The sequence below is a fragment of the Homo sapiens genome, chromosome 6, assembly GCF_000001405.40.
Source record: "Homo sapiens chromosome 6, GRCh38.p14 Primary Assembly".
NCBI lineage: Eukaryota > Metazoa > Chordata > Mammalia > Primates > Hominidae > Homo > Homo sapiens.
This window is the reverse complement of record NC_000006.12, coordinates 437,961-450,374: the sequence shown is the minus strand read 5'-3', so window position 1 is coordinate 450,374 and position 12,414 is coordinate 437,961.

Below are 12,414 nucleotides of genomic sequence, written 5' to 3'. Positions count from 1 at the left end.
AACAGTCTTGCGCCGTGTGCCCGCACTCCTCAGCCCCTGGGTGGTTGATGGGACCGGGAGCCGTGGAGCAGGGGGCAGCGCTCGTCGGGGAGGCTCAGGCCACGCGGGAGCCCAGGACACAGTGGGGAGACTCAGGCATGGCGGGTTGCAGGTCCCGAGCCCTGCCCTGCAACCCGGGCGAGAAATCGAGCGCAGCGCTGGTGGGCCGGCACTGCTGGGGGACGTGGCGCACCCTCCGCAGTTGCTGGCCCGTGTGGTAAGCCCCTCACTGCCTGGGGCCGGCCACGCGGCCGCTCCGAGTGCAGGGCCAGCCAAGCCCACGCCCACCCGGAACTGTAGCTGGCCTGCAAGCGCCGCGCGTAGCCCCGGTTCCCGCCCGTGCCTCTCCCTTCACACCTCCCTGCAAGCCGAGGGAGCCAGCGCCGGCCTCCGCCAGCCCAGAGAGGGGCTCCCACGGTGCAGCGGTGGGCTGAAGGGCTCCTCAAGCGTGGCCAGAATGGGCGCCGAGGCCGAGAAGTTACCAAGAGCGAGGGAGGGCTGCGAGCACGCTGTCACCTCTCACCCATGTCACTCAAGACCTCAGCAGCAAATAAGTAGCTGAGCCCTCGCTCCTCGAAACGCAGCCCCTCCCGGTTTCTTGGACTCTGAGTTCCTTTCACCTCCTAACTCATCCCTTGGGTGCCCCAGAGCCCATCCTGGGATCGCAGCAGTTCTCGATCACAGGGTCTCAGGCAGGCCAGGGGATTGGGGCCATGTCCGCGCTGGCCACGCCCAGGCTTCCCGTCTCCAGCCTCAGCTTCCCCTGGACTCTTGGGGTCCTTCTTGCCTCTTGTCTTTCCCTCTCGCCCCCACACCGAATCTATTGACCAGCTTCATTAACTCTACCTTAAAGTCCATCCAGAATGTGCTGGCTGCAGCCCTCCGTTCTCATCTGAGCCTGCAGCGGCCTCCTGGGGCTCTGGGTCCTGCCTTTCCCTCCAGGTGAGCCAGTGGTCCCTTACTTGGAAATTCCTCGTACTCCCTTCTGCTGGGCTCCACCTTGCTCCCTGGGGTCCCAGCCGCCACCTCCCTGCCTCTGGGGATCAGTGAGAAGTCCTCACACACCCACTGGATTCCTCTGTGGCACCTGCCGGCGCCTGGAACCGCATCCCCATGCTTAGGGCCTGTGTGACTCCTGAGCCAAACAGCCCGAGAGGACAGGCCCGGCCCCCACCCATCGCGGTGCCCAGGGCCCGCCAGCGCCAGGCTCAGGGAACACTGGCTGAGCTGGTGAGCTGTGGGACCCAACACGGGGTGCCTCCATTTCCTCAGTTATAAAATCAGGGGGCTCGGTGACTTCCAAGCTTCGATATGAAACCATTTCTCTAGAAGGGTGCTGGGTCACTTTGCTCTGATTGCCTTAACGAGCACCACGCGCTGGGCGTGCACTCCGGGCTTCAGCAACACACGTTTGTTCTCTCACAGTCCTGGAGGGCAGACGGCTTTGAGCCACGTGTGGCAGGGCTGGCTTCTCTGGAGACCTCTCCTTGGTTTGCAGATGGTGTCTTCTCCCTGTAGCCTCGCGGGGGCCTCCCTCTGTGTGTCTGCGCTCTCTCCTCTTCTTAAAGGAGCACCACTCATGTTAGTTTAGGGCTCACCCTGAAGACCTCATTTTAACTCAATTCTCTTTCTAAAGGCCCTGTCTCTAAATGCAGTCACTTTGAGGTACAAGAAGCGTCTTCATCCATTCTCTGTCACTTATAACAGAATATCAGAAACTGGGCAATCTATAAAGAAAAGGAATTTATTTCTTGAAGTTATGGAGGCTGGGAAGTCCAAGATCGCGGGGTGGGGCTGCATCTGGTGAGGGCCTTCTTGCTGGTGGGGATTCTGCAGAGTCCTGGCAGCGCAGGGCATCACATGGTGAGGATGCTGAGCATGCCGGCTCACGTCTCTCTTCCTCTTCCTATAAAGCCACCAGTCCCAATAGCATGATAAACCATTAAATCCATTAGCCCATTAATGCATAAACCATCTATTAAAGGCCCCACCTCTCAAGACTTCCACACTGAGGATTACTTTTCAACATGAGTTTTGTGGGGACAAATCTTCAAACCATAGCATGGGGGTTAGGACTTCAACATATGAGTTTGGAGGGGGACACAGTCAGCCCATAACAGATTATAATGTCACAGCCTCGAGTGGAGCCACAGGACCTCCCGGGGGGACTCAGTGCCAGGCCTCCATGGCAGTGGCCTGGAGGAAGGAGGCAATTCTGAAAGCAACATCTGAATGATGAGAAGGTGGTTTCGAGATTGCTGTGCTTGTGCTTACGAGCCTGTTTATTAGATGATTTTCCAGTAAACCTCCTTGTGAAAACGTGGGGATTTTTTCTCCCATTGTTTTGCTGTCCGATGGCAGCCCAGACAGGTGAGTGGAACGTTGGTCTCACCGCTTCCTCTCCACTGCGGCGCTCGGTGCAGCCCTTCCTCTGGCTCGTTCTCCCTCCCTCCCTTAAATACAGAAATGAGCCCCTGAAACATTACTTCAAGGGATGCTTACTCTGTGGGGCGGCCTGCATTGGAAATTCCTGTGGAGGAGAGAGGGACCAGCCCTGCGGCCTGGGCTGTTTGCATCTGGATCCCTCGCCGGCACTTCCTTTCGGGAGGCTGCCTGGCTTTCTCATTGTGCAGGATCCATCATGCAGACCACTGCTCTCCTGTACTGCATGGTGGAACGCTCCTCAGCACAGTGCTCGCCTCACCAGGGGGAAACTGTGAGTGACCTCAGAAGACAGAATTGCCACGCCAGTAAAAGCCCGCATCCCCCGCCCCCATGGCCTCAGCTAGGGAGGGGCAATGCTGCGCGCTGCGTGGTCAGCAGGCTTCCAGGGGCACCGGAGGCTCACCCGACTGCTGTGTGCACGTCCATCTTATGAGCCCCGCCCTCCCAGCCCCGCAGCCTCTCCCTGGCCTGGACATGCGGTGCCACCCATGAGCACCTGCTGTTTGTCATCCGTGCCATCCATGAGCACCTGCTGTTTGCACCCACACAGCGTCTAGAAAAGGAAGCAGTTCGGGGAGGTCAGGACATGCGCTGGGAAGAGGCAGGCTGGCAGAGGGTGGTCCCATCCTTAAAATGGGGTGCTGGAGAGCCGGGTGAGGTGGCCGGCCCCGTCCTCCCAGCCCAGCGCGCTTGCGCCTGGGTTTCCCCAGCCCCTCCCGGCCGCCTCAGCCCCTGCCTGTGTTCCATGGGGGCTTCTTGGTTTCTTGTAAAAGACACAATTAGAGTAACCCCAGAGCTTGATTCCCACCTCACTTCATAAACACAACAGGGAAATGCCGGTGACACACAAGCGTTCCTCAAACCACCTTGTTTTTGAGCTCTGCAATGGAAACACACCACTTCCTTCCACTGAGTCAGGCCCACGCCTCCCGGCGGCGGGCACCGCCCCCCAGCTGCCTGTGCCATCCCAGCCAGAGCCCAGATCATTCTTTCCACTAAGACGCCTGAGTCTCCTGGTGGAACCCAACCCTTTCAAAGACTGTGGGTTGGTGTGGGGTTTTTTTGCTGTTGTTGTTTGGTTTTTGGTTTTTCTTAAATTGCATAAGACACTAAATAGGTTAAATGAGGTTAGTGGGGTGTGCTCACCTGCAGTCCACATTCCCAGTGACACCCCCCAGCACCCCCCACTGAAGAGACTCCTCTGTGTGGCTGTTTGGATCCACATCAGCGACCCTGAAGCATGAGCAGAAGCTGGACAGGGAGGCAGAGGCAGGGAGCAGCAGGCGCCGGGGGAGGGGACAGACCTGCGCCTTCTTATCGTGGCCGCTCTGAGCAGCCGCCTTGCACTGCTGAGTTCTGCTGCTCCAGGGCTGCCCAGCACTGCAGCTAGAACTTCTCTATGTGGGACCCCAGCACCCCGTACAGCATCCCTTTTGCGTGTGAATAGATGATCCCTGCCTCAACTTCCCCTGCAGGGGCTGCCCCAGCTTTTGCCTCATCTCCCCTACTGCTTCTCATCCTTCCAGGGAGCCAGGTTGGGCTGGGGGAGGGACAGGTCCACCAGGCGGGCATGCAGGTAGGTGGGCAGGTCCTGGGCCTGAGGAAGCAACAAGAAGTGTGAGGGACAGGCACCTGATATTTCCATAAAAAGTGTGACTCAGCACTGAGCCAGGACCCCTAGCAGACAAGCCGAGGGGCTTCCTGCTAGGTCACAGCTGGACTCAGGAGAAGCAGCCGAGCTCAGGGCAGAGATGGCTGTGCCACGCTGGGCAGGGTGGCAGCTCTGAGATCCCCACCAGGCTGGCTGCCCAGTTCCCTCTCCTAGCTTTGTCCCTCAGTCCTCCTGCCCGGCCACCCCGCCCCTTCTGTTCACCACAGCCTCCAGCCCCACCTAGGCACTTCCTGAAAGCCCACAGTGACCCCAGTATTTTCACATCACCAGCACATAGGATGAGCATTGCTTCATTTGGAAATTGCAGTGTCTTCTCCTAGAGGAGTGGACACAGTAAGACCACATCTAGCTTTCAGCATGACTCTCAGAGACCCACTCTGGCCCCAAGCTTCCTGTGACACTGGTGACCTGGAGTCATGGGCTCTAGAGCTTCACAGAAACAGCCCATCATGGGCCGGAGACAGAGTGACCGCCCCCTGTCCCCCCACCTCCCAGATTCCCTAGCTGCCCCACTGGGGGCTCCTCCACTCTGGGATCCATCTTCCGTGCCTCTGACTCACCAGTGCCCCTGCTTTTTCCTACCCGAACCTCTGACTATAACAGGGCTGCACTTCGAGAAAGATATTTCTGTTGCAATCAACCCATTTTTCCAGGGGCCTGAGTGCCACTGTGCCTGCATTTCCCTGGTAACCATTTCTTGAACAGTTCCTATGATGGTTTCTGGAAAGGCCCAAACCAGGGCCCTAAGCAGAGTCTTCAATCCTGTTACCTGTTTTGGTTCCAGAGACTCCACTGCATGACAGCAAAGCTAAAAACCCAGGAAACCAGAAGTGCCAGAGAGCATGTCTTGGAGGTGTGCCCTGCCTCCCTCTGCTTGTTTACAGCCATCCTGATGAATCCCCTAAACTATCACTTCAAACCCCTAAAGGCTGGAGGAAGACAAAAGCAAATGCCACCACTGTTGCCATCTGAAAAGCAAGAGCAGCTCTGAGAGCTCAGCACAACCCATGTTTGTGAGTCCCCCTCGCCTGGCCCAGCCGTTCTCCCTCCACACCACGCCCTGCCCTCCCTGGCACCATCCACTCGCTTCCTCCCCAGTGTTGTGGTTTGGTCTTTGATTTCAAACACACTCAACATCCATTCAGTACATGCTGAGCTGTCATCAAATTCATTCACCACGCATTTGCCTAAAGCCTGCCGTGCGGCGTCCTCTGGAGCTCCTCAAGGCCCTACGCCTGCTGTCCCTCCCTGCAGGGGCCCCCTCGGTGCCAGGCTTGCTCCCGGGGCCACACCTTGGTCCCTGAGGAGGGCTTGTCCAGTGGACAAAAGCACGAAAGGCCTCAGGACTCATCTGCTGCAAGGGGACTCCCCTTAGTAAGCTGGGACCCGGGGCCCACATTGCTGTCCGCATCCACCTGTGTAATTCACGCGATGCCCACCCCAGCTTTGTGAGCCATGTGCTGCTGCACCCCCACTTCACAGATGATGAAAACTGAGGTGCCCCAGGCACCCAGCCGATCAGTGGCACAACTTGGAACAAAGCCACAAAGATCCCACCACGGCACTCAGGAGACAAGGGCGTGCAGGGGAAGGTGAATAGTGCAGAGCCCGCCCGCACCGCATTCTATGCTCCAAGGAGGCTGCTCCAGTGCTAATGGGAAGATGTTCTTTGTTGTTGTTGTTGTTTTGTTGTTGTTGTTTCTTGAGACGGAGCGTCGCTTTGTTGCCCAGGCTGGAGTGCAGTGGTGCAATCTCTGCTCCCTGCAACCTTCGCCTCCCAGGTTCAAGCGATTCTCCTGCCTCAGCCCCCTGAGTATCTGGGACTACAGGCATGTGCCACCACATCCAGCCGATTTTTGTATTTTTAGTAGAGATGAGGTTTCACCGTGTTGGCTTTTGAACAGCATTTTGGAGCTCTTCTTCCCTCCCTTGGTTCCTTTTCCCCACTTCTCTGCTTTACTTTGGGCCCCCAGTTAGTGGGTTAGAAACTCTAGGAAAAGCAAAAAGCTGTACGAGGAAGGGAAGGCCACCCAGCGCCCCTTGGCTCCGCGGGGAAGAGTTTCCTGGTGCTTCAGGGACGTGGCCTCCCCATTGGCTCTCAGCCTGTAGGGCAGACAAAGCGCAGAAGACTCGGTTATGGTCGCCAAGCAAAGCCCACATCATCAGCTGCAATTTGATCACAGACGACCATAGGCGTATTGCAGTTTCGCCCCAGAGAGTGACCCTGTGGCTAAGCGGAAGAGAGAGGGGGCCTGCGGGAAAGGAAGGGGGGATGCCACGGAGGGACAGCCAGCAGGACAGCTGGGGACAGCACTGTCACCATCGGGGCGTGGGAGGGTAGACGGCTCTCGAAGGCAAACTCCCGCACTCACTGAGGAAGTCAGTAGGTAAGACAATCAGCAACCCGGGGCACAGGGCGCACAGTCTTGGGTGGAGTCCTGGGTGGAGGCAGTCCTGGGTCCACAGTCCTGGGTGGAAGCACCTGCAGACGCACAGGTGGAGGGAGCCAGGTGCCGCTCTGGGGAAGGAGTGCCTGGGGCTTCTTCTTCCTATTCAAAGCCTTGCTGTGTTCTTTGATATTTTACCACAGATGTCATTACCTTGACAATGTTTTACAAGACCAGTGAACACAGTACCAGAGGAGTTGGGTGCTCGTCTTGGCTTCTTGTTTGGGCAATAGCTTCCCACCTGTAGTTAATGAATATCTTCCCCCACGTACCCCCACACAGTTGTTTTGAGGCTCAAGGGAGATATTTAGATAGTTCCAAAGCAGCCAGGGCATTTTCAAGTAGTAGCAATAGTAGTAGTGATTATTGCATTATTATCATTCTTAGAACAGGGAAGGCAGACGTGAAAAACAGTCCAAAAATAAAAATAAATTAAGACACTAATGAGAGCCATTCAACACCACTTCAATGGAGGAAGAATGTTTATAAGGGAACACCTGAGGCCTGCAGAGATGTTGCCTGTATCTGAAAAGGTGCTGGTTGCAGTGAGGGTGGCTCTGCCCTCAAGGAGGCAAACCCACAGTATGTAGACAAAATTATTCAAAGGGTCACCCTTGACCCACTCACTCCACTTGTTAAGAACATATTCCTTGGAAATAATTATTAATATACATGCACACATCTAAGGGGGCCAACCTAAATTTCAACAATGGAGAAACAAGTAATAAAATGTGGCTCTTGGCCAGGCTCGGTGGCTCCCGCCTGTAACCCCAGCACTTTGGGAGGCTGAGGAGGGCGAATCACCTGAGGTCAGGAGTTCGAGACCAGCCTGGCCAACAAGGTGAAACCCCGTCTCTACCAAAATACAAAAAAATTAGCCAGGCATGGTGGCACGCGCCTGTAGTCCCAGCTACTTGGGAGGCTGAAGTAGGGGACTCCCTTGAACCCGGGGTGCGGAGGTTGCAGCGAGCCAAGATTGCTCTACTGCACTCCAGCCTGGCGACAGGGCAAGACTCCGTCTCAAAACAAACAAACAAAAAAATGTGGCTCTTAATCCTCCTCAAACATGTTATGAATACCCTGTAGCAACATGGAAAATGTTTATTCTATTGTAATTAGACAATACAATTGCATTTATACGATGACTATAGCCATGTCAAAAGCATGAATACAATTAGAAAGGAATAACGAAAAGTAAAAGTATCTGTTGTGTCAGGAAGTGTGCAATGAGAGATTATTTTCTACATTTTCACTCCTTCCTTCATTCAACAGCCATTCCAAGGTGAAGCAGCCCCTCCCTCTGGAGCTGAGGGTTAGTCCCGCGGTCCTTAGGCAACCATTATGGCGCAGGAGAAGGGACGGTGCCACGGCATTTCCCCCACCTTAACTTGACAGGAGGAGTCTGGTCAGGAAGCGTGAAGAAAAATGGCTCTCCTTGCGATTAGGAGGCCGTGGCAGTGGACACGGAGATGAAGGATGGAAGAGGGACATTTCACAAAATGTGCAGTGAATTTGTGACCCACGTTTGCCCCGAGAATTTTAAGAAATGAATGTACAAACAGGTTCCCAAATATTTAAGTGCATTGTCTGGGGGAGCTTCTGCCGCTGTCCCCATCATGAGTAAGTGTCTGGATGGTGGAGTCAGTGCGGGAGGTCAGAGGGGGCTGCAGACGAGCAGGGCTGCTGAGGGGCTGGGACACTGAAGTGTGTCACCATCATAGAGGTCCCCGCCACCAAATACCAGTAAGCCAGGCCTATGTCCTCCACTCTAATGCACCCCAGCCTGAGGGTTGTGGCCAGGGCTCCCTCCAGGCCTCTTCCGTGTGGAGGTTGACCTGGGGCTGGGGGAACACAGGCAGGACACATGAGTGGGTCCCTGAGCTTGGACATTGACAGTGCAGAGGGTTGTATGCACCAGAAACACCCGCTCTTCTGAGCCTAACACACGTCCCTGAGCCCGGCCCCTCCTGGGAGAGCTGCCGATTACACAGGCCATGTCTTCTCCATGGATTCTGAACCTGCATCCCACCTGCAACCCAAACAAGAGGTGACAGATGAGGCAGCCCTTTCCCAGAGGCCAGTCCTGCCACCGGAAGCATGGTGGAGAGAACTGAAGAGGCCACTCTCCTTGAGGCTGGAGGTGCAGGAGAGATTTGGGAGGTGACAGAAGAATAAGTGCCGAGACCCCTCTGTGGGTCCTGGGTGAGCTGGCAAGATGGGCCACCCTTCACCTGTGAAAGGCCCCTGGGGCACTTGTCTTGGTGTGGGAATGGAGGGCTGTGGGCAGCCCCAGCTCCCAGAGCACAAGGGGAGGTGCCTGCAGTAGCCGCCTTCCACTTCCACTCAGCCTGCTCCCCTTTGAAACCCACCTGAGGGTGGGCCCTGAGCAGGGGTGAGGTGGGAGGTGTGTTGGCAGCTGGAGCTGCCCACAGACTCCACACAAGTGTCCTGTAGTGTAAGGCAAGGACAGGGGAGTGGCTGGGCTGCAGAAGAGGGGTACGAATGCCCTCGAGCTTCTCTGACAGCGCCTCCATCACCCATGTGCCAGCTCTTAAGTGTCCGCCTGGAGGTGATGGGGTCACTTCCTCTCACATTTCAGCTGTTGAAGTCGGTAATGTGGCTGAGCTTTCCTGCAAAGAAGCCAGGGGAGTAGAACTCACCAGAAAGTTTGTGAAACCTCATGCTTTCTATAAAGGGAAATCGATTTTGTCTTCAGTGATGGGAGGGGCGTGCCAAAGAGTAAAGACAGTGCCACTGGCCGTAAATAACGAGCTGACTCCTCTAGGCAGCTGTAGAATGGGAAGGGATGGGAGGAGATGGGATGGATGGGAAGGGATGGGAGGGGATGGGATGGAGTAGGATGGGATTGAAAGGGAAGAGATGGGATTGGAAGGTAAGGGATGGGAAGAGAATAGACAGTAAGGGAAGAGATGGGATGGGACGGAAAGGGATGATATAGGATGGGAAGGGATGAGACAGGGTAGGAAGGGATGGGATGGGATGGGATGGGATGGGATGGGATGGGATGGGATGGGATGGGATGGATAGGATGGATGGGATGGATGGGTGGGAGAGGATGGAAGGGAAGGAAATGGAAGAGATGGAAAGGATGGGATGGGGTGGATGGGATGGGTTGAAACGGATGGAATGGGATGGATGGGATGAGATGGAAGGGATGGTAAGGAATGATATGGAATGGAATGGAATGGGGTAGAATGGGATGGGAAGGATGGGGTAGATTGAAAGGGAGAAGATGGAAGAGAATGGTGGGAAGGGATGGGAGGGGAGGGGATGGCATGGGATAGGATGGGAATGGAAGGGATGGGAAGGCAAAGGATGGGACAGGTGGAACGGGAAGGGAAGGGTGGGATGAGCTGGGATGGGATGGGATGTGATGAAAGGGATGGGATGGATGGAAGGGATGGGATAGGATTAGAAGGAAAGGGGAAGGGAGAGGAGGGCAAGGGAAGGGAGCGGGGAGGAAGGGATGGGATGCCTACTCCCCAGACGAGCGCCAGCCTTAACTCCCAGCCTAGGAGTGGCATCCTGGGCTGGACTATCACTCTCCAAGACCCTACTGACATGCCCAGCCCCAGCCTCAACCCGAGAAGACAAAGACCACTTTCTGACTGGCCAGAGGTTTGAATAAAGGTAGTTCAGCAGGCAAGTGTGATATGAAAGGACCTCAGCAAAGGGAACAGGATACTTCAATGCCAAATGTGCCTGTGCTGCCAGGGCCATCACAATGTTGGCCATCACAAGATTGGTCCCGTGAACCGCAAGTGATAGAAATAGAGATGCACAGTGAGCTGATGCAAGGGAACGCAGCACGCTCATGAGAAGGTGCTGGATGAATGCCAGGTACTTCATTATCGCCCAAGCCATAGGTGGTAGATTACAGAGTGTTAATTACTACGGAAGACTTGGATCACAGCTGCCTTGCACGTGGCTGCACTGACTCTATCCTGTTGGAACTCTCTTTCCAGAAGAGCTGTTGCAAAACCCTTTGCTTAGGCTTCCTCCAGTTTTCACAGCATCACTGGCAGAGAGTGATTTTGTTACACCCCTATCAGCAAATCAGTAGGGCTCTCCTGGGAAATTTAAATTTCCTATGTTTTCTAGTATTGCGTGATGCTCTTCTTTTTGGCCATATTTTTGGACAATGAACATCCACGGAAAAATCTGAGTTTCAATGCAACTAGACTAGTAGAATATATTTGGTACATTTATATCAGGAAATACTAAGATTTCTTTCTGGTAAATTCAGATGAATCTAAATAAAGCAAAATGATGGATATTTAACACAATCCTTAGTTGATGTGTATGATATATTTATGTTAAATATTCTGAGACATACAAAATTTTCTGAGACATATGTCTTTTAAGAGTCATTTGTTTCTTGGCACAATGTCTGGGATTTATTCCAAAATAATTCTAGGGGAGGGGCAAAGGGCAGGTCACAGATGAGATGAGGCTGGGGCTGGTGATGAGTATACATGGCCATTATGCTATTCTTTCTGTCAGTGCATGATTTGAAAGTTATTTCATGTACACTTTGAACAGACAAGTTCCTATAAGGCATCAGAGCAATTCTTGGTCTGCTGCTGACAATGAAAAATGTATGATGAGATCAAATACCTGGGAGGTAAGAATACTTTTCACATGTTGTTAATGGCTGAAAAAAAATTATGTGCAGTGAGCTGGGTTTGAACCACAGTCCGTCGTTTGCAGACTCCTGAAATGATATCAGAGAGAGATGAGCACAAAGCCAAGAAGGGAAGGCATGAGGCCTGGAATCAGCCCACCGGCCCCGTCTGACAGCCGTCTCACCAGGGAAACCTCAGTGTCTCTAAAGAAAGTCTCAATGGAGCCATGCTGACCCCTTCAGAGAAAAAGTCTGCCACCCCCTGTGGTACGTCCTATATGTTTATGCTCATTTGTTTATTATTATTTGTATCCCCAGCCACAGAGGGCAGGTGTCTGCTTCTTCAGCACTCTTCACCCTGCAGAGATGAGATCAAGCGCAGTCAGGCTATCTGGAGCGGAACTCGTCCCTCTTATAAGCTGGGTGACCACGGGTAACTTATTTGACCTCTCTGTTCCACGTCTGTAAAATGGGATGATCGTAGTACTTCCCTCATGGAGTTCTTTTATGAATCAGTAAGTTAATGCCAGCCAGTAAACGACAGCCATGTATGTGTTCCAGCGATTACTGCCCTGGTGGCAGTCAGAAGTCATGGAGGCTGAGCTCCTTTGTTTTGCATTTCTAAAACTCAGTGTCCCTTCAGCCAGTTTTCCTAGATCTACTCTACTTGCCAAAAAGAAAAAAGAATCCACTCTGTCCTAAAAGAAGACTGACTTCTCTCACGCTTAACAGGTTCAAATTGTGGCAGCTTTCATAGAATGGTGTTTTCTCTGCCTTTACTATCAAGGACTGGGGGCTTCTGGGACACAAGTGCAGGGGCCCCTCCCTGTGCACACTGCTGGGTGCTTCTGCCAAGCACCTGTTTTCACCAGTGCACCCTGCAAATACAGCCTCCTTCAGCATTTGGCTAAGGATGCAGCTCTGGAGAAGCCTGCCCTGGTGAGGCCTGAAGTCCAGTTCCCGTCCTGGCTCTGCCACCGTTGCACATACCTGTGCTGGGCATGGGATCTGTTCAGTTAACATCATGTTAACTGTCTCCTGTCTCCATTAAAAAAAGTCAAGTCAGCTGCTGCTGCAGAAAATAATATGGTGGTCTTCAAAAGTGACACGGAATTACTACCTGGTCCAGCAACTCCACTTCTGGGTAGAATTCTAAAAGAAGTGAA